At 53.1% G+C, this 22,275-nt stretch overlaps 1 protein-coding gene across 1 annotated transcript in view, besides 5 other annotated features; it reads right to left on the bottom strand.

Moving 5' to 3' along the window:
* SPSB1 (splA/ryanodine receptor domain and SOCS box containing 1) overlaps nucleotides 1-21,564 on the bottom strand; it is a 76,639-nt gene extending 55,075 nt beyond the window's left edge. Inside the window, exon 1 of the mRNA NM_025106.4 lies at nucleotides 21,387-21,564. The gene's annotated coding sequence lies outside the window, so the exon portion shown is untranslated. The remainder of the gene's footprint in view (nucleotides 1-21,386) is intronic.
* Nucleotides 8,743-9,590: an enhancer, noted in NCBI's record as "H3K4me1 hESC enhancer chr1:9364927-9365774 (GRCh37/hg19 assembly coordinates)". NCBI's record gives its function as "activates a minimal SCP1, AML or CMV promoter by ChIP-STARR-seq in naive H9 embryonic stem cells {active_cell/tissue: H9 hESC(naive)}" and the evidence as "EXISTENCE:reporter gene assay evidence [ECO:0000049][PMID:30033119]".
* Nucleotides 20,630-20,919: a silencer, noted in NCBI's record as "silent region_220". NCBI's record gives its function as "represses an Ori minimal core promoter by ATAC-STARR-seq in GM12878 lymphoblastoid cells {active_cell/tissue: GM12878}" and the evidence as "EXISTENCE:reporter gene assay evidence [ECO:0000049][PMID:35858748]".
* Nucleotides 21,460-21,529: a silencer, noted in NCBI's record as "silent region_219". NCBI's record gives its function as "represses an Ori minimal core promoter by ATAC-STARR-seq in GM12878 lymphoblastoid cells {active_cell/tissue: GM12878}" and the evidence as "EXISTENCE:reporter gene assay evidence [ECO:0000049][PMID:35858748]".
* Nucleotides 21,600-21,679: a silencer, noted in NCBI's record as "silent region_218". NCBI's record gives its function as "represses an Ori minimal core promoter by ATAC-STARR-seq in GM12878 lymphoblastoid cells {active_cell/tissue: GM12878}" and the evidence as "EXISTENCE:reporter gene assay evidence [ECO:0000049][PMID:35858748]".
* Nucleotides 21,730-21,899: a silencer, noted in NCBI's record as "silent region_217". NCBI's record gives its function as "represses an Ori minimal core promoter by ATAC-STARR-seq in GM12878 lymphoblastoid cells {active_cell/tissue: GM12878}" and the evidence as "EXISTENCE:reporter gene assay evidence [ECO:0000049][PMID:35858748]".

Below are 22,275 nucleotides of genomic sequence, written 5' to 3'. Positions count from 1 at the left end.
GGTTGGCAGTCGGGGTCTAGATGCTCACAAGTGGGCAGCCAGGTGCCCATCTTCCCATCAGGAAGGTACCAGGATAGCTGCTCGCAGAACAGGGAGCCCTCTAGCTTTCCAAGCCAGAGAGCTGCCTTGTATATTTAGGAGCGGGAGGGAGGAAGGATTCAGTGGGGCATGGCCAGATCTACTCCCGGCCCAGCAGAGACACTGAAAATGTCAGGTGGATATTTGGGGGTATTTTCCAGCTGTCCCGTTCACTGTTTTTTTTGTTTTTTGTTTTTTTTTTTTGAGATAGAGTCTCAATCTGTTGCCCAGGCTGGAGTGCAGTAGTGCGATCTCAGCTCACTGCAACCTCTGCCTCCTTGGTTCAAGCAATTCTCCTGCCTCAGCCTCCCAGGTAGCTGGGATAACAAGTGCCCGCCGCCACACCTGGCTAATTTTTGTATTTTTAGTGGAAAAGGGATTTCACCATGTTGGCCAGGCTGGTCTCAAGCTCCTGACCTCAAGTGATCCGCCCGCCTAGGCCTCCCAAAATGTTGGGATTACAGGCGTGAGCCACAGCGCCTGGCCAGTTGTCTTGTTCACTCCTATAGGGAAAAGCAGGAGATTCGAGATCCCCAGCCATCTCGCCTCTCCGATAACACTCCTCCATTCACTCAGCCTTCACTGAGCACCTGCTGAGGGCCAGCCACTGAAGCACAGCGGGCAGGCTGGACTGGCCAGGCCTTGGCCCCTGCTGCAGCTTCCTGGGAATGTTCAATCTTACCTTCCTGCCTGTGCTCACTCGACCCCTCCCCGGGAGCACCCACCCATGCCCTCTCCTTTGCCTGGCTAAGGCTTCTCTCCATCAGAAATTTCTCCCCCAGCAGCCCGGGCCCACCCCTCCCAGAATTCACATCCCAGAATCCTCCCACCCCAGATCAGGTGCCTGTTCCCACTCAGAGGTCATGTGGGCAGCAGTTCGGAGCACAGACTGCCTGGGTCTGCGTCCAGCTTGAGTTCTTGGCTGTGCAGCCCTGGGCAAGTTATTTTATTTTATTTTATTTCATTTTATAGAAAATGAAGAGCGGTGTTTCGCTCTTGTTGCCCAGGCTGGAGTGCAGTGGTGCAATCTTGGCTCACTGCAGCCTCTGCCTCCCGGGTCCAAGCGATTTTCCTGCCTCAGCCTCCCAAGTAGCTGGGATTATAGGTGCCCGGCACCACGTCTGGCTACTTTTTTGTATTTTTTTAGTAGAGACAGGGTTTCATCATGTTGGTCAGGCTGGTCTCGAACTCCAAACCTTGGGTGATCCACCCGCCTCAGCCTCCCAAAGTGCTGGGATTACTGGCATGAGCCACCGCGCCCGGACTTGACTTTTTTTAAACTTTGGTTTTCCTATCTGTAAAATGGGTAATCCCCATTCCACAGGGTTCTGTGCAGCAGTCAGTAAGTTAATGTGTGGAAAGTGCCCAGAACAGTGCCAGGCACAGAGCAAGCACTCAGTAAACATCAAGCAAACTGGTCTTGTTCTAAAGCCAGAAGGAAAAGGTGTGTCTGCAGGGGACACATGTTCTTGGGCCTGGCTTTGGACAATCGGCACGCACTGCCTCTGGCCACCTCACCTCCACTCCTTCCACACAGTTCCAAATGCCAACCAAGTAGCCTTCCCTGGGCGCCTTCCAAAACTGCGCCACTTGCAATAAGACTGACCAGGTTGAAAAAATCAAATAATAATAATAATAAAACCCAAAGAAAACCAAAACCACGCCAATTTGATGAGATGAGTCCATGCACAATCATCCAATCATTGCAAAATTCAGCTCATGAGCTGCTCGTCCAACAAAACTCCGTGCTGGCACCTGACTGTGTTACCATCAGCACTCAGGAAACTTGGGAGAATGCGGCCCTCCCCCAGTCCCCACCGCACAGCATGCTGAGGTAGGGAGAAAAAATGAATTCTAGGACGGTGTCCACGGCTGCCTGACCACATGTGTGCACTAATAATCATCAATGTGTACATTTACAATAGGCGAACTGCGTGGCGTGTGCATAATACCTCCACAGGGCTGTTACGAAAGAACCCTGTGTTAGCGCTCACTGCCTACAATATTCAGGAAGGTCAGGGACTCCCTGCTTTGTCTCATAAAAAACCAGACAGACCGGACACAATGGCTCGTGCCTGTAATCCCAGAGCTTTGGGAGGCCAAGTTGGGAAGACTGCTTGAGCCCAGGACGGGTTCGAGACCAACCTGAGCAACATAGCACTGCAGCCTGGGTGACAGAGCGAGATTCTGCCTCGAAAAAAATTAAAAAATTAAAAAATTAAAATAAAATAAAAATTAGCCAAGCGTGGTGGCATGTGTCTGTGGTCCCAGCTACTCAGGAGGCTGAGGAGGGAGGATCACTTGAGGAGTTTGAGGTGCAGTGAGCTATGATCACGCCACTGCACTCCAGCCTGGGTGACAGAGACAGGCAGGGCCAACGGTTACACCAAGACAAAAACGTCATCTGCATGAGGTCTCCTGTATCTCAATACTTAGCCACTGGCTTAAGGAGAGAAAACCAGTCCCATTTCCCTGCTTTGTCTGAGCATAGCTATTTCATCTGGCAGAGGATGAAACAGGGCTCAGTGCCACCAAGAAAATTCATACCCCCCAGGGATGCACCAAACCCACCTTTTCAGGGAGAAAATAGAGGTCCCATCCCAAACACACAAAACGTGGTAGATAAAGCCACGTTTCACGTCTACCACTCGGCAACCCCCGGCAGAAACATCCTGGGTGCTGACCCTTATCTATTCCTGCTCTTTGCCAGAAGCAGCGGGAGTTAAATCTTCTACAGAATGCTCCCCTGCCCCATAAAAAAAAGCCTAGAGATAAGAGTGAGACTGCTCTGGCTCAAGCGTTGGTTCAAGTCTGATCCTTTTCCAGGACTTTGATGCTATTTCTAAGCCCGATCGGTCTTTCCAGAAAAGAAGATGTCCCATGCATGGTGAAGAGACCAGCGAATATTTGTTGGTGCTGGGTGGTGTGGGTATGGGGTTCAGGACACCAGTCTCTCTACTCTGCCCTGTGTTTGAAATTTTCCATTATAAAAATCTCCATAAATGCAGACAGCAAAGCAAAACCTCAGCCACGCCGAGACCCATCAGGGGGAAGAAAGAAACCCCAGTCATGGGTCAGGACTCGGCTCAGACGCAGCCTCCTGGGTCGGCCCTGTCTGGGCATAGCTCTCTCAGCATAGGCACTGTGACAGCCAGGACAGAGCGGGCATTCAGGGAATACTGGCTGCATGATGAAGGCATTAAAAAAAAAAAAAAAAAACCCTTTATCCTGCGCTGTCTAGACACCCCTGAGAGTGGCGTGGGGGTAAGGACTTGGCTTTCAGGGAGCCTGGGAGGCTAGAGGCGGGAGAAGAAAGGATCTGTTCACACTGACCAGCTCCAAATTGGCCCGATAGGATACAATTAGAAGAAGGGGGGAAAATATTTATCTTTTTGAACATTCCATTTTTCCAAAGATGGCGAAGTGTTTTTAGAAGAACCCTGACATGTACGTATAATTTATATATTACGGAATTGGAATAAATTAAGCACGCTGTGGCCCCCTTAGGATGACTTCCCCAAGCTTCATAAATGCAAGGCAACCTTTCTCATTAGCACTTTCTTCAAATCTCCAAATGAGAAGACCCTCAGACAGGAGAAACACTTGAGAATCTCCCCCAACCCCCATCTGCAGAGGAATGAGGTGACAAGGTCCTGCTGCCCAGGTCTCTCTTTTTTTTTTTTTAAGACAAGGTCTAACTCCCATTGCCCAGGCTGTAGTGCAGTGGTGCAATCACAACTCACTGCAGCCTCGACCTCCCAAACTCAAGTGATCCTCCTGCCTCAGCCTCCAGAGTAGCTGGGATCACAGGCATGCACCATCACATCCAGCTAATTTTTCTGTATTTTTAGTAGAGACGGGGTTTCACCATGTTGCCCAGGCTGGTCAGGAACTCCAGGCCTCAAGTGATCTGCCTGCCTCGGCCTCCCAAAGTGCTGGGATTACAGGCATGAGCTACTGTGCCCGGCCCTTTAGGTCTTCTTGATCTATCCAGGAGCTCATCCCTTAGAAATCCAGGAAGGCGCCCCAAGAACCTCACATGAGATGCCTTTCCCCTCACAGAAATTACCGTTGTCTGAATCCTGTGAATCTTGAGTTTGCTTGAAGCTTCCTGGGATCAACCCAAGAGGCAAGTCCCACCAGCACGGGCCCTAGACTCTGTGGCCTTCCCACGGCAGGTGCAGGAGCATCATCACAGATGGCCCCTAGACTCTGTGGCCTTCCCACGGCAGGTGCAGAGGCATCATCACAGATGGCCCCTAGACTCTGTGGCCTTCCCACGGCAGGTGCAGAGGCATCATCACAGGCCCCTCACCATCCCCCACCTGAGGAGAGCTTTAGGGCAACAGGCAACACTACCCCAGCCAGAAGCCCAGGACCTCGGGCAGACCCACAGCCAAACCCCCAAGAAGACAGATAAGAGCTCCAGGCACAGCCAAACAAAATGACCAGGAAGTTGAATTGGGTCTCCCAAGGGAGACTGGTCAGGGCCCCCAGTTACCACTATTTTATTCTACTCTACTCTACTGTATTTATTTGAGACAAAGTCACACACTATTGCCCAGGCTGGAGTGCAATGGTGCAGTCTTGGCTCACTGCAAACTCTGCCTCCTGGGTTCAAGCGATTCTCCTGCCTCAGCCTCCCAAGTAGTGGGATTATGGGCATGCACCACCATCCCCGACTAATTTTTATATTTTTAGTAGAGACGGGGTTTCACTGTGTTGGTCAGGCTGGTCTCAAACTCCTGACCTCGGGTGATCCACCCGTCTCGGCCTCCCAAAGTGCTGAGATTACAGGCGTGAGCCACTGTGCCTGGCCTGATTACCACGTTTTAAATGCAAGGGAGAGCCTAGGCAACATGGCGAGACCCCATCTCTACAAAAACTTTTAAAAATTAGCCAGGTATGGTGACACATACCTATAATTCCCGCTACTCAGGATGCTGAGGTGGGAAGATCGCTTGAGCCCAGGAGTTCGAGGCTGCAGTGAGCTGTGACCGCACCACTGCACTCCAGCCTGGGTGACAGAGAGAGAATCTGTCACTCACACACACACACACACACACACACACACACACTCTCTCTCTCTCTCTCTCACACTCTCTCTCTCTCTCTCTCCGCAGGGGAGCACACAGGAATTGAGGGGGGATCTAGCTTATCTGCACATCTCAGGAACAACTTTGGAGGTGAATGGCATGGAAGTGCAAGGACACCCCATGCCCACCGACGACCCCTGGGCCTGGCATTTGATGCCCTCCCTGCTACACAGCTCTGCAGCCTTCTCCCGGTCCTCCTCATGGCAGTCAATCTCCTGGTCCCCTACCATGAAACCCCCCAGCCTAGAACAAACCCTCCTGACAGTCTCAGGAGGCCCTCTGTACCCACGCAGGCCTGGTGCCCGCCCAGCCCCTGGCAGGGAGCTCATGTTTCCTGCATACACCTGCTGGGCCACAGGCTCTCAGGGGCCTGGAGGTGCATCACACGCCTCCCAAGCTGTGCTTGGCAATAGCAGGTGCCCAATCAACAGGACTGGCACGTTCCACTGTCGCAGTAGAAAAAAACACAGGCTGTGGGGTCAGGCCCACCTTCCAGCATCCAGGGAGTCATGCCACTTCCTGCAACGCAGAAAACCTCTCTAAAAAAAAAGTCCTCCTTTCTCATCTGTAAACCGGGAGGTAACATCTAACTCACAGGACTGTTTAAGGGGTTAAAAACCCATCTACAGTGGCAAGCATAGCGCCTGGCTCATGGCACACATTCAATCAATACATGTGAAGACTATTTCAGGCAGAATCACACTCACAGCAGATGGGATCTGAGACACCCTAAACTAAATGCCGGCCCCAGCATGGGAGGGAAAAGGCAGGAACAAGTTGTCGGGAGCTCCAACAAGGAAGGGGCCAGTGGTCCCCCAGTTGATGACAGCTTAGGTTTTCTCTCGTGCCTGAGGCAACCCCACCCATCTGCTTTCTAGAAACTGTCCCCCGACCCACAGTCAGGGCACCGTGGCTCCGGGGGCCCTGGGTATGCAGGACCTACTGCTGGGTATGCAGGACCTGGGTATCCATGACCCCACCAAGGATGGGCCCAGGGCAAATGGCCCCCTTGCTAGGTGCCACCAGTCAGGGCAACTGCAGCACTGCCCCAACAGCACTGGCAAGAAGCTCCTAAGCACACTTCTGTCATCCTCTCTGTCAAATGAGAGGCAGTCCACCCCCTTTGGGCCTGACATGTCTTGGAAAACACTGGAAGGAATGGAATTAAGACAGTAACTTGCTAAAGCTGAAGTTCTGGTCCCAGACGGGTTAACAGGATTTGGAAGGGGCACCAAATTGCAATACTGTCAGCAACCAATCCTGGAAACAGCTCCTGCCCCCCAGGAGGAGGAGCACCATGAGTTACAGACTCCCAGCCTCAGGGTCGGTCCCCATGGGGCACCTCTGGCATCACAGTTGAGGGGGACCATGGCGAGGAGGGAGTGGCACAGGGTAAGCCTGGGAGGGGCCACGCGCACCCCGAAGACCACATCATGGATTTACAAATTCACCGTAATAGCAATGGGAACTGCTGATGGGCTCAAGAAGGGAGCTGACAACAGGTGTCATTTTTAATAGATCAACGGGAAAAGATACAAATAAGTAACAAGATCGCTGGCTGCAAGAGGATGGTGGCTGAGTCTCTGGTGATGAGGGATATGGACAGAAAGACAGGTGTTCCTATTTCCCAGCCAACCTCTTAGACAAGCTGTTTGGATCAGACTCTTCCATCCCACCTTCACGTGGCCTCTACAACTGAGCCAGGACGGGAAATCCAGCTTCCACTTAGGAAATGCTTCAATCTTCCATGCAAAATTTAATTAGCCAGAAGTCAGACGCAGAAGGCCATGCAACGTATGGTTCCATTTATATGAACTGTCCAGCACAGGCAAACCCGTCAAATCAGAATACAGATTGGTTCCCAGGGGCTGGGGAGGGAGGATGGGAGGTGACGCCGAATGTGGATGGGGTTTCCTTCCGGCGGGATGAAGATGGTTTGGAACTAGACAGAGGGGATAGTTGCACGACATTGTGAATATACCAAATGCCACTGATCTGTTCACTTTAAAATGGCTCATTTTACATTATGTGAATTTCACCTCAACTGAGAAAAGACGGCCAGGCACAGTGGCTCATGCCTGTAATCCCAGCACTTTGGGAGGCCAAAGCGGGCAGATCACCTGAGGTCAGGAGTTCGAGACCGGCCTGGCCAACATGGTGAAACCCCATCTCTACTAAAAATACAAAAATTAGCCAGGCGTGGTGGCACGTGCCTGTAATCCCAGCTACCCAGGAGGCTAAGGAGGGAGAATCACTGGAACCTGGGAGGCGGAGGCTGCAGTGAGCTGAGACTGTGCCGCTGCACCCTAGCCTGAATGACAGAGCGAGATTCCACTTAAAAAAAAAAAAAAAAGAAGAAAAGAAGAAAAGTAAAAGAAAAAAGACACCCTAATTAGCCAATGTCACAGAGCACATCTGCATGTCCAGGACATCTTGCTTGGAGCTGACTTTACTTTCTCTCCTTAGCTCAGACACCAATCCCCATTACCTAGGACCACTTCTGACTCTCATCAGCCCCCTGCAGCCTATTTACCCAGCCACAGTGACATTCACTCTGCTGACCTATCTCTCGGATCGCTCATTTCTTCCTCGCTCCTCTTTTGTGGCAAATGGTGCTGAAGAGTAAGACTGAGAGCCTGGCTGCTGGGGCTCAGCTCCCAGCTCTTCCCCTGGGTGGCAGGGAGGCCCAGAGTTGCCCTAGTTTTTCTCATCTGTAAAATGGGTAGTACCTACCCTATAGGTATCACGGACATTATGACGACTGAATGACTTGATGCATGCACAGCACCTGGAAGTGTGCTCAGATATGCCACATCGTTGATGGCTATTGTCACTGACCCCACTATAGACAGACCCCGGTCCATGCACCTCCCACAGCCCCCTCCACTCCATCCATCTTCCACCTCCTCCAGGCTGGACATCACAAAGGAAAACTGGTTATCCCTCCCACTCCAGCTCTGCTGTGCTCCAAATGCTCTCCGTGGTGGAAACCACAGAGCAGAAAAGCCGACTGCTGCAGGACGCGGCTAGGAAGGCCCAGAGCTCGGCCATCCCTCGGCACACCCGAAAGGATGAAGGCAGTTGATGGCAACAGGCAATCGCCTGAGGTGCCCTCAGTCCCTGCCCTGTGGGGTCAAGGGTGAGGCTCGCCCTCTAGCAACCCCCATGTCTCGGTTCCTCCCGCTGCAGGAGCATGGCTGGGACTCAGCCTGCTGGCTGATTCTCAAAAACCACTGCTCTGTCCCCAACACGCCTTCGTTCCCTAAAGCACGAACCCCTCTCCCACGTTACTCGCAATTGCACAAATGTCCCCAGGTCTGTGGGCCCTCCTGCCTCTCTGCACTCATTTTGGCCACACATGGGCACCCTTCCCGCCTTTCCAACCTGGCCACCCCTGCCACCAGTGTCCTCTGATACCCTGAGCGCTATCATCAGCAGAGACGGGCCTGTCTCACCCACTAGACAGAGAAAGCTTCCTCATTCTTTGTATCCTCGGCCCCAGCAGACTGGCTGCATACAGTAGGTGCTCAGCAAATGTTTGAATAAAAGCATGAATGACAAGTGGCCCACTAACAGCTCCTGAGAACAGAGGCTTGTTCGGAGTTCCTGACCTCCCACGGGGCATGGAAGGAAGTCTGGTCTGAGAACGGAACACCTGGCAGTTTAGTTCCGTGACGGGGAGTCCCCACCCCCAGCACCCACACCCTGGGCCCACATCGAGCTCTCCCAGACCCTGCTAGGATCCACTACGCCACCGGTCTTACCTACTCCTTCATCCGACAGGTGTCCAAGAACCTACTGTGGACCTAACTACTGGGGACTCAGCCGTGAACAACAGCCATGTGGCCGGCCGGGTCCTGCCCTCCTGGAGCCCACAGGTCACTGGGCTGCCCACAACAGCAGCTGTCCCTGGCATGGCTGAGGGTGCATGTGTCTGGGTGACAGGGTGGACCGTGGATGGCAGGGCTACCTGCTGAAGGGGACATCCCTGGGAAGAGGGGAGGAGTGAGGGGATCCGGTTTTGGAAAGTGAAGCGAGAGGGTATGGGCCAGCCGGTAGGAACGGGCCAGCCGAGGCGGGACCAGGCAGCATGAAGAGTGTGAGACGGGGTCAGCAGAATATAGGTGACAGTGGCTGAGGCTATAAGGGAGGAGAGGGACTCTCCTGAGGGGGCAGATGGGCCACAAGGGCGAGAGGGAGAAGTGGGAGAGGCCCCTGTAGGGAAGGCAATGCCAGATGGGTCTGGGCGCAGGAGGCAGGTGAAGCCCAGGGAATGGCCAGAGCTTTCTAAGCCAGGATGGGGCAACGGCACCCAAGCAGCAGAGGGTGAGCGCTGTGGCTCATGCCCATAATCCTAGCACTTTGGGAGGATTGCTTGAACCCAGGAGTTCGAGACCAGCCTGGGCAACATAGGGAGACACCGTCTTTGTGAGAAATTTAAAAATTAGCTGGGGGTGGTGGTGTGCACCGATAGTCCCAGCTACTGGGGGGCTGAGGTGGGAGGATTGCTTGAGCGTTGAGCCCAGTTGCCATCTGGACACGTCCACTTGGACCACTTCCACTTAGGACAGGTTCAAAGCACCTCCATGGACCTAGTCCCCCAGCCTGTAGGTCATTATTCACGATGACCCCCAAACTAGCTGGGAACCCGAGGCACCTGCAATTCTTCACCCTTCTCTACACCCCACATTCAACTAGTTACCGAAGCTTACCCATGCCACCTTGGAGATGCCACAAGCTTCCATCCCAACTGGCAGGTCAGGGATATGAACCGCCATCTCCCTGGCCTTCCAGCTCCAGCTTCCTCTCCACCAGATTCTTAAGGCGACCATAACTGCATTAGCCAGGATTCTCCAGAGATGCAAAACCCATAGGATCGAGAGGGAGAGACAGATGAGAAAGGATGGGTTAGGGGAACTGGCTCATCGGTTATGGAGGCTGAGTCCCACTACAGGCCATCTGCAAGCTGGAGACCCAGGGGAGCCAGGAGTGTGGCTCAGCCAAGTCTGAAGGCCTCAGAACCAGGGAGACCAATGGGGTCATTCTCAGCCCCGGGCCAAAGACCCCGGGGACCAATGGTATGAGTCCCAGAGTCTAAATGCCAGAGAACCTGGAGTTGTGACATCCGAGTGCAGGAGAAGGAGGATGTCCCAGCTCCGGGACAGAGAGCCAGGATTCGCCCTTCTTCCAGCTTTTTGTTCCATCCAGGCCACCAGCTGATTGGACGGTGGCTGACCCCATGGAGGGCAGATCCTCCCTGCCCAGTCCAGTGACTCCAATGCCAAAAACACCCTCACAGACACACCTGGGGCAGCCCAATCATTCTACACAAATGCCAAACCACTGGGCTTCCCTGTCAGCAGAAAAGGGATGGGCTCAGTGTGTGCTGAAGCATTGAGAATCATCAATGCTTTACCATCTATCCAGGTATTCCTTAGTCTAGTCAAGTTGACATCTGAAATCAATCATCACAGGTTCGCCCCTTATCAACTGGCACCCAGAGGCACCCACTGGCATCTCCTTAAACCATACTTAATCTCCAAGGACAGTATCAAGGTCATAGTTCCACCTATCGTGACACTACTATCCTGCATAGCAAAGACACATTAATCCCTTCTCCAGAGAGGAGGTACAGTCCTTGAGTGCTATTCACTCCTCTCTCCTCTGATACTCAATAACTTAAATACTATGATGTAAAATTAATACTTAAATACTGCTATAGACTCAACACATGTTCTAAGAATAAGGAGTAAGAGAGGAAAGAAAACAGATATTTGCCTAATATACATGTAAATGCATACAACCGTATTCTGAACAAAATAGGGAGGAAATACTCCCAGCAATTCTGGCCCTTGTTTCTGTAACTGGTCACGTGGTTGGAGCTGGTATTTATTATAACTACCTCCCTCTGTCCTGTTCTGTGTTCCTTTCGTCTGCAACAAGCACCTCAGCTGGCTGTGGTTCTTTAAGTGGCAGAGTGACCCAAACATTCATTCCTGAAGGGTCTGAGTCATTCACAGTCCTGCCTGGATTGTATCCTTGTAATTTCCCATTGACTTAATCACAGGGCATGGTAATACTAACAGATGCCCTAAGGAGTATCCTGTACTCCAGACACACTCTTCCTTGCCTCATTGTGGAGCAGTCCAGATCAATTTCCCCTTGGTAGTCCAGATCAATCTCCACAGCCAACACCATCACTCCCCTCTCAGCCTGCTGACCCAGAGGCACAGGGAGCCCAAAGAAGCCAGGTGGCAGCCTTACCCCCCGTTCAATGGAATCACTGTTGTGTCTCCTGGTAGGAGCATTCCTCTCTCTGGAACCAAGACCTCCAGGCCAGCAGAGCATAAAGTCACAGGAACAGGAAGCAACAATTTCGCTAGCGGGTCCCTAGGGGATATGATGCGCAGTGCCACTCCCATTTCCTCCCCTTGATTCCTGGACCCGTGAATCCTGGCTACGGGAGAAACCAGCACCATATATTGGATGCTGATACAGAGTACATAGAGCCTTTTGAAGACCCCTGACCCAGCCCTACAAAGTATTGTCACCTAGCTGGCATTGTAATTGCAACTTCAAAAGACTCTACTGCCCTTCTTTCAAGTCAGCTGCTTCAGGATGGTGGGGAACGTGGTCATTCCCAGTCCCAGGTCAAAGACTCCGGAGACCACTCGTACGAGTCCCAGAGTCCAAAGGCCAGAGAACCTGGAGTTCTGACATCCAAGCGCAGGAGAAGAGCATCCCAGCTCCGGGACAGAGAGCCAGGATTCACCCTTCTTCCAGGCCCCCGGCTGACTGGATGGTGCCTGCCCACATGGAGGGCAGATCCTCCCCACCCAGTTGAGTGACTCAATTGCCAGTGTCCTCCAAAAACACCCTCACAGACACATCTGGGGCAGCCCGATCATTCTACACAATGTCAAACCACTGGGCTTCCCTGTCAGCAGAAAAGGGACAGGCTCAGTGTGTACTGAAGCATAGAGAATAATCAATGCTTTACCATCTACCTGGGTATTCCTTAATCTAGTCAAGTTGACATCCAAAATCAATCATCACAGGTCCACCCCTTACCAACTGGCACCCATAGGCACCCACTGGCATCTTCTTAAACCATACTTAATTTCCAAATAAAGGCAATAACAAGACCGTAGTTCCACTTAGCATGATAGGCGAAACCAGTGGGCTCGTGCTCACCGGCCAATTCCCTGCACATGATCCCAGTGCCACACTTCCTTGGTTGTGAAGTGAGCTCCCTGGAAGCAGTGCTACACGGACAGCGTGACAGTGGGAAAGGTGTTCTGTCAATCAATGGATGGTGACTTTGGCAGAAGCACTGTGTGCAGGGAAGACGAATCTGTATCCAGAATAAGTGCCTGCTCCAGTAAGGACAAAACGCTGCCCCTTCCAAAACAGAAGTGGTCCAATGTGCCTTCCACCAGGTGCAGTGATCATCCCGGGGAATGGGGCCATACTGGAGCTCAGTGTTAGTCTCCGCTTCTGGCAGACTAGCAGCCAGTGGTAGCCATAGCCAGGTCGGCTTTGGTGAGTGGCAGTCCATGCTGCTGAGCCCATGCATCACCTCCATCTCTGCCACCATGACCACTTTGTTCCTGAGCCCACCAGGCGATGACAGGGGTGGCCAGGGAAAGAGGCTGACGAGAATCCACCTAGGTCATCCTACCCACATACCTCATGTCCTGTGCGCACTCGGGAGGTCTATCCGTGTCCTGTGCGCACTCAGGTCTATCCACATACATCTTCCCCCAATTGCTTTTTTGTTTGGTTGGGTTTTTTGATACAGGGTCTCATTCTGTTGCCCAGGCTGGAGCAATCACAGCTCACTGCAGCCTCAACCTCCTAGGCTCAAGTGATCCTCCCACCTCAGCCTCCCAAGTAGCTGGGACTGCAGGCATGAGCTACCACGCCCAGCTAATTTTTTATTTTTGTAGAGATGGCGGGGGCGGGGAGTCTCACTATGTTGCTCAGGCTGGTCTCGAACTCCTTGGGCTCAAGCAATCCTCCCACCTTGGCCTCCCAAAGTGCTGGGATTACAGGTGTGAGCCACTATGCCAGGCCCCCAGCTTTCTTTGTCACCAATCTTCCAATCATACTCTTTCCAAGTCCCCAAATCCCTGACCATCCAGCCAAATCATCAGGCACAGCCCATGGATCAGTATATAATCACTCATCTGGCCATCTCTCCTTCGAAGCAAGGTGCACAACCAGGTGCACTGCCCGAAGCTCTGCCAGGGAGGATTTCCCTTCACCCCCATCCTTCAGAGGTGTCCCAGCAAGGGGCTATAGTGCTGCAGCTGTCCACTTTCGGGTTGTGCCTTCATATAGTGCAGAGCCATCTGTAGCCATCTGCAAACCAGGCTGACTAAGTCTTCTCTTCCACTGTCAATCGATCAGAGGGAACTCCCCAGGAGACCATAGATACAGGCTGGAGAGAGAAGGCAGTGGGCAAAGTAAGAACCATGGGCCTTTGGACCACTTCCTCATGTCACTTACTTGTGCCTTCAGGACCTGCTCAGACCTGATCCCATATATACCACTTCCTCTCGATGGCAGCGTTCTGCCACACATGCCCAATGTCTGGTTTGGTCGGTCAGATCATAGATAACACCCACTTCATGATGGGCAGCTCAGGTCACATGGCAACTTCGTGGCTGATGGTCAAACATTAAGTCTCTACTAGGGTCCAGTATTAGGCCAAGAGCTGTCTCTCAAAAGGAATGAAGTTATTTGTGGATGATGGCAGGGCCTTGCTCCAAAATCCCAAGGCCTGTACTGCGATTCATCTACAGGGGCCTGCCAAAGGCTTTAAGCAGCCTCCCTGTCTGCCGCTGACCTCAACCACCACTGGATCTGCTGGTGGCCCAAGTGGCAAAGCAGGTTGCACAGCAACCTGGACCTGTTGCAGTCTTCTGCTACGGGCCCCACTCAAAACTAGAAGCGTTAGGGTGACTCAGCAAATGGGCTGGAGTAACACACCCAAATGAGGAATGTGTTGCCTCCAAAGTCCAAACAGGCCCACGAGGCATTGTGCCTCTTTCTTGGTTGCAGGAGGAAAGCTGTAACAACTTATTCTTCACCTTAGAGGGGATACCTTCACAGGCCTGACACTACTGGACCCCGAGAAATTTCACTAAGGGAGAAGGTCCCCGAATTTCAGTAGAATTTATTTCCCATCGCTTGACATGTAAATGTCCTACCAATAAGGCTACAGTGGTTGCGACTTCTTGCTCACTAGGTCCAATGAAGCATGATGACATCAATGTAATGGACCAGCATGAGACCCTTTTTTTTTTTTTTTTTTTGAGACAGGGTCTTACTCTGTTGCCCAGGTTGGAGTAAAGTAACACAATCACTGCTCACTGCAAGTCTTGACCTCCTAGGCTCAAGCGATCCTCCCACCTCAGCCACCCAAGTAGCTGGGACCACAGGCACACACCATCATGCCTGGCTAATTTAAAAAAAAAAAAAATTTATAGAGATGATGTCGGCCCGGGCGCAGTGGCTCATGCCTGTAATCCCAGAACTTTGGGAGGCCAAGGCGGGTGAATCACTTGGTGTCAGGAGTTCAAGACCAGCCTGACCAACATAGTGAAACCCTGTCTCTACTAAATACAAAAAATTAGCTGGGTGTGGTGGCGCATGCCTGTAATCCCAGCTACTCAGGAGGCTGAAGCAGGAGAATTGCTTGAACCCGGGAGGCGGAGGTTGCAGTGAGCCGAGATTGCACCATTGCACTCCAGCCTAGGCAACAAGAGCAAAAAATCCATCTCAAAAAAAGAGAGAGAGAGAGAGAGAGATGACGTCTCACTGTGTTGCCCAGGCTGGTCTCAAACTCCTAAGTTCAAGCGATCCTCCTGCCTCGGCCTCCTGAAGTGCTAGGATTACAGGAGTGAGCCACCGTGCCCAGCCCCAGTATGATATCTGTGGAAGGGAAAGGTGATCAAGATGACTGTGAACTAAACTGTGACATAGGGCTGGAGAGCTGATATACCCATCAGCCCAGACCGCCAAGGGGCATTGCCGGCCTTACCAGCTGGATGCAAACTGCTTCTGCTGGGCCTTATGGACAGGTATAAAGAGAAGGGCATTCGTCAGATCAACAGCTGCATGCAGTAGCAGGGACCAGAGATGTGTGAATTTTGCAGTCACCACTTGGTTAAGTTTACAATAATCCACTATCAGTTTCTAAAGTCCATCTGTCTTCTGCACAGGCCAAATCGGAGAGTTGAATGGGGATGTGGTGGGGGTCACCACCCCCGCCTCCTCCAAGTCCTTGATGGTGGTGCTAATCTCGGCAGCCCCACCCCAGGGATGCAATGTTGCTTTTGATGTACTATTTTCCCAGGCAGAGGCAACGCTAATGGTTTCCACTTGGCCTTTCCCACCATAACAGCCCTCACCGCACAAGGCAGGGAACCAGTGTGTGGATTCTGCCAGGTGCTAAGTATGTCAACTTTGAATCTGGAACCAGGAAATAACCCCAGGATGGGTTCAGGGATCCACGGGAGCCACCAGGAGTCAAACCTAAGCTAAAACTCCATTGATCACCTGACCTCCATAAGCCCCTTCTCTGACTAGTGGGCCACAGTGAGTGATATTTTTGGTTTCCTGGAATCAGTATCAGTTCAGTAACCAGTTATCCCCGAACAATCTAATTATTTCCCTTTCCTCAATACATATTCACTCTGGTAAAAGGTCACAGGTCCCTTTGGGGAAGGCTAGGAGAAAAATTAATAGCATAAACTTTCTCTAGTGTACTGAGGTCCTTCTTCAAAGGGATCCAGCTTCCAATTCATTCATTCATTCATTCACTTATTCATTCACTTATTCATTCATTCGTTCACTTATTCATTCATTCGTTCACTCATTCATTCATTCACTCATTCATTCATTCATGGGGGCTTAGTTGTGTAAACTGGGTTAAGTCTGGGAAGTTGATTGAGGGCTGTGATTTTCTGTTTTAATTATTTTTCTGTTTTAATTATTCAAGTTAGACTTTTTTTCATTTGACCTGTAAGTTTCTGCTTATACAGAAAACTTAAAAGAATCAAGTAACTTATAAGATCAAGTAAGAATTTCACGGGTTTCCTGTCTATTTCACTTCTAGGAACACCATGATTAACTATCCAATGCCATAGATCCACACAAGTCAGACTATTCTGACGGCAGCTTTGCCTCTGCCGTCCATTAGGTAACCACACTCACCTTGCCTTGGATGGCTGAGTACTGCCACTTGGCCGCTGCACTCCAAATGCAATTACTCCCGTTGCATTTAAGTTTTCCATTTGAGTGACTGCGGCTCCCACTGTAAGGGCTGGATCACGGAGCTCTTCAGGGATGCTGGGGCCCCCTCACAAATCTATTTCTCAACGTATGCGTGAAAGATCTGTCTTCTGAACCTTCCCAGTGTGGGTGAGTAGCTTTTAAGAGACAAATCCACTCCAGCATTCCAATGTCCCTAAGCCTTTGAATCCCTAACTCTACATGAAACCTAAGCCTATGAATCCCTAACTCTACATTAAACCAAAGGAGACCCAGAAACTCCAACTTACTCACAGTGGGTCATCCTTTGATCCATGTTCCAGTCAGCCAACCAAACAGATCTCTTCTTAACCCCCTGAGCTACAACATCAAGTGCAGAATCTCCGCTTAGTGGGCCCATATCCATAAATTCGGCCAGATCCAACTTCATGTTCGTTCCACATCCTAATATCCACTCCCACACATGCTCCCTTGGTGTCTGCTTGTATAAATTAGAAAACTCAAGTGGTTCTCTTGGTGTGGAGTGCAGCTCCTCACTCTGACCTTGGAAAGGGTGTGACCAGATTGGCCACACTCTGACTGTCTGGCAAGGTGTGTTCACAACTGGGGCACCCGTCAAGCCCTTGTCACAGGTAGGTTTTTCCAACCCTGGAATCCTATATTCCTACTCAGCAGTCATTTCTCAAGTGTGGAGTTTGCATCCTGATATTTTCTTCATCTTGTGCTCAAATCACCCAATGCCTCCCTAGTTTTCCAAGAGACGCCCAAGGGTGGCAGAGGTTCTTGGATTCCTCCACCCATCGCCTACGCAGTAAACTCAAGAGGGTCAGGCTAAGCTTCAGGTCAGATTCAGAGCTTGTTGACAAACCATTCTCACAGTCACATCTCCTGACACCCAGCCCTGCCACAAATCCCATGCCTGCATTGCACAAGGTCTGGACCTCAATGGCAGGCAAGGCTGGGCTGTGCCTTGGCGGATTCTCTTCCCCATCTCCAAGAAAGGCCCCGAGAGCCTAAGCCTGTTGTTGATGTGGTCTGTCTCATGACCACTGGACTCATTTATTTTTAACGTTGGGCAATGAACAGAACTTTTAAAACACAAAGCAAACAGGCAGCTTCCCAAAGGTTTCAGGGGGTTGGCAGCAGGACAGATCCCCCAATGTGCTGTTGGGTTTTGCCATCCTCCCTTTGTCCAAGCAAGGAAGGAGCCTCAAGCCCAAGTCAGAAAGGACGTACATCTCCCGACTCTTGCCCCGCATAGAGTAACAGTCAACCTCTTTGAGATGTGATGCTTCCTTTAAATGCTTCTTAGGAAGAAGCTACAGATGACCTGACATCTTGTATTTGCTTCAAAATAATCCAGCGTGTGTGTGTATGTGTGCATATATGTGTGTGCATATGTATGTGTGTGTACACATGTGCACATCTTCTGTGAGCATAAGTATGCATGTGCATATGTGAGTATGTGTATGTGTGTGCATGCGAGGTGAGGAAACCTGATCGCTCATTATACTCTGCCTCTAACTTTGGTGTGTTTGACATTTTCCATAATAACAAAAAATTTCACTAAAAAAATGAGCCCATGCTTCTTGAAGAAAAGGCTCAGGTGGTGGAGGTGACAAACTTACTGGTGAAGGGCTTGGGTGCCAAGTCTGGATTCGAGTTTTGGCTCCACCATTCCCTTGCCGCGAGACCTTAGCCAAGTTACCTGCAATCCTCAGCAGAATGGACATGGAGGCAAAACCCACTTCTCAGGGTCCTCAGGAAGCCCATGAGTCAATGCGTCAAGGACTCAGATCAGAGCCAGTACTCGCACGCACCGTGAAACCATGAAACCATTTCCCGCTATTATTATGCTTAGGATTCAAACAAAGTCACGTCCATAAAGCACTCTGTAGCACAGAGCCGGGCACCTGGCTGCCAGTGGAACTTTAGACTGGGGGAGATGTTATCAGATAACTGGGGGAGGGGAGAGCACTCACTGAAAGTCCAAAATCGAAGTCCCTTAGAGTCTGGATTTCACTGATCTAGTGTTGAGGGCTGGGGAGAGGATAACACACCCCTGGGCAGACTGAGGCACACCTGTACCTGACCTTGTGCTGTCGTCTGATAAAATTTTTCAGAACCAAAAGATACACTGAGTCATGCACACCAGCTACAACCTATTTCTCGAGAAAAATTGATACAAAATGCCCAGACGAACTCATGAACACCGTAAGAATCAGAGGTTTCGCTGAATTTGAAAATGCGTCTGCAGGCAAGTTTCCATCCACCCAGGAGGAGGGGCAGGTGCAGGAAGGGAGCACGGCACACACCATGGGGGTGGGAGGGCAGCGCTGGCTTCCACGGGCTAGGCCCCCACCCCATTCCCCAGCTCTGGTGAAGAAATTCAACATCTGTGATGATTCCAAGGGGGTGAGATTCTGCAGCAGCCCAGAGGGACCCACTGAAGGGTGGATCCAGCCTTACTACAGCAGCCCAAGAAACGGCCTCACCCAGCTCCAAAGTGACATCACCAGGGCCCCAGGCAGGCCCACCCCTTCCTAAGAGCCCTGAAACCCACTGATTCTTCCCAGGGCCAGGTCTCTCTTAAGCCGGCATGGCACCCGCCTTGCTCCCTGCTCGGGGCTGTCTGAGCCACTGGGGCCAACATGCTACTGCTTTTGTTTTCTCTGCTGCTAGGGTGGTAGCCAGACTGGAAAAGGAAGACTTGTAAAGTGATTGCCTTAGTCCACTCCACACCTCCCCAACCGCACGCGCGCACACACACACACACACACACACACTCACACTCTCACACACACACACACACTCCATCTACTGGGTAAAGTGCTCCCTGCAGAAGAAAAGCAGCTGTAAGAGAGCAGGAGTGCTTTAAATGATCTAATCCAGCCCATCACTTCACAGCTGGGGAGACACGAAGTGCCTGGCCCATGACCTCAGTGCTGGGGACAGTAACCAAGAGCAACAGTTTCAGGACTGGGGAGTCTTGGTCCACAGCCCTGGCTGTGCAGTCTGGGTAAGTGAACCGCCCTCTCTGGGCCTCTCTAGGACAGGCTGGCCTAGACAGTAAGACAGGACTTCCCTGACTCCAAAATTCCTCAGTGTGGAGAGACCACCTGTGCTGCCCATGCTTAGCCCAGGGCTTTCCACCACTGGGAGGGGGGTCTGAGGAGGGGGACAGGGCAGAAGGGAGAGGCCCCCATCCCCTTCCTTGCTTGCTGTTCTCCTCACACCCCACGATGAGAAATGAAGTTGTGGGCCCAGCCCCCCCAACGAGAAAATTCTTCCAAGGACATCAAACCTTAGTCACCAGGGATGGCGCTTTTACCATGAACACCTGTTAAAACTCAACTCATGACCAGTTTCTGATGCTACAGACTGGAGTGTTTAATTAAATATTACTCACTCAGGAAGCAGCCCCTGCCAACTCACCCCCAAACTGTGTAGTTCATTTTCAGAGAAATGGAGAGAGGAAGAGCCTGCGCTCTCCTCGGGGGCACCAGCAGGGCTTGCCTAGTGGGGTGTCTGTGGCCCAGCATGCCCGGCTATCCAGAACCAAGTAAAGAAATCACCATGAGGAGCAGTACCTAGGAACCAGAGGGCCCCCTGGATGGTCCCCACACACACTCACAGAGAAACACACACAAAGACACACAGACACACACTTGGAGACACACAGACACTCACACATACACAGACGCACTCAGAGACACAGACACAGAGACAGACACAGAGACACGTGTGGACACACAAAGAGACACAAAGACACACACACGCAAAGACACACACAGACACAAAGACACAGAGACACACATTTGCAGAGACAGACACTCAGAGACACAAACTTGCAGAGACACACACCCAAAGACACATACACACTCACACACAGACACACACAAAGACACACAGACATACACAGAGAGGCACACACAAATACACAAAGACGCACTCAGACACACACACACACACACAGTCACTTAGAGTCTCAGGCACACATTGACAGACACACAGACTCACACACACACTCAGAGGCACATAAATACACAGATGCACTTAGAGACACACTCACACACACACCCACATGAACACACAGACACACTCATACGCAGGCACATATTCACAAGGACATGCACAAACACACACGCAGATGCACTCTCAGAGACACCCGCTCTTCCTGCAGACCCGCACCCTCCTCTCGGGGCCGTCCCGTCCTCACCGGAACCTGGACGCCACCGAGCCCAGTACACGCCCGGGGACGGTGACCCATCCGCGGTTCCTCCCGCGGGCCCAGGCCGCCCTTGTTTTTCTGATTTAATCGATTTCCTGACAACCCTCCGGCTCTCCCTCCGCTGCTGGGAGAAGCCGCGGCGGCTCCGGGGCGGCGGGGAGGGCGGCGCTCGGGTGTCCCCGGCAGGCTCCCTGGGGGAGGCGCTGCGGGAGGGTGGGGGCGCCCCGACGGGGGACCGGGCCGCGCCGCCAATCCCGACTCGGACTGGCGGGAAAAGCGAAACTAACTCAGCCGAGCGGGGTCCCGCTTTCCCCGGGCTAAAGGGGGGACGGGTCGGCGGCCCCGGAGCGCCCCAGCCCCTCCTCGGGACCGCAACTCGTTGCGACGGTCCCCGCGCCCCGAGACCCCCGCCGCGCCTCGCCCCGGGACCCCCTGCCCTGCAGCGGCGGCAGCGCGGGGCGGGCCTGGGCCCCTCTCCCAGGAGCCGCGGCGAGGGAGGCGCCCCCGGAGCCACCGCGGGAGGGGCCGCGCCCCGAGTCCCCATCCCGTACTCCACCCGCTCCCCCGCGCCCGGCCCCGCGCCACCCACTCGGTCCCCCAGCGGCGCGATCCCCGCGTCCGCCCTCGCCCGGCCCCCCGCGCCTCCCCCTCCCGGGCCGGTCGCCCACCCATCGGGGTCCCAGGTGCCCCGCGCCGCCTACCGCGCCCGGGGTGCCGCCGCCGCCGCTGCTCTCCAAGGCCGAGGAGGCTCGGGCGCCCGGGCCGCGCCCGCCGCAGGGAGCGAAGTCGCCTCCTCCCCGCGGCCCCGGCCCCGGCGCCGGCGCCTGGAGCCTGGTTCCTGCTGCGAGCGCGCAGGCTGCCCGAGCGCGACTTCTGTGCGGAGGAGAAAAAGCAACCGACGGCTTTAAAGTGAAAAAAAAGAGAAAAGCGCCGGTGGGCGGGGCCGTCCCTGCCCCGCCCCGCCCCGCCCCGCCCCCGACCTCGGGCGCACGGACCACTCAGCACTGCAGGGAAGGCCGGGGGCGCGGGGCGCGGGGCGCGGGGCGCGTCAGCCCGGCGCTGGTTCGGCCGCCCCCTCCGCCCCCTTAGTCCGCAGCCCTCTCCCGAGCCGCCGCCCTGGTGTTGCCGGCCCGAAGCTCGGGTCCCTCCGGAGGCGTCTTTGGGAAACGCGTGGCGCAGGGCCTGGGTTGCAGCCGTGGGAGGCTGGAGTGGGGGCGGGGGTCTTACGAGAAGGAGAAATCTTCGCGGAGAGTGGGGTTGTCCCAGGAACCCCGAGCAAGGCCTCGCCGGCCTCCTCTGAAGTGCCCAGCGGGGACGAGTGGGCAGCCGCCGGGGGTCCAGGGAGCCTCCTGCAGCGCTGTTTCGGCCGCTCGCGTTTCGGTGCCCACGGGGACGGGGGCCTCGGACCTCGAGACCCTGAGGGCGCGGGCACCTGGCATCCGCAGGGCTGCTCCCTGAACAGGTCCCAGCCTCTGGGGACTTGTCCTGTGGCTCTAGCTCGTTCAAGGAATTTTCCTCCCCCTTCCCCGAACAGAGCAGTCACTTGGGACTGGGAAGATTTTAAAGACTTTGCTGTTTTGAGAGCAAAAT

Source organism: Homo sapiens, chromosome 1 (assembly GCF_000001405.40).
Source record: "Homo sapiens chromosome 1, GRCh38.p14 Primary Assembly".
Classification (NCBI taxonomy): domain Eukaryota; kingdom Metazoa; phylum Chordata; class Mammalia; order Primates; family Hominidae; genus Homo; species Homo sapiens.
This window is presented reverse-complemented; position numbering and strand designations above follow the sequence as displayed.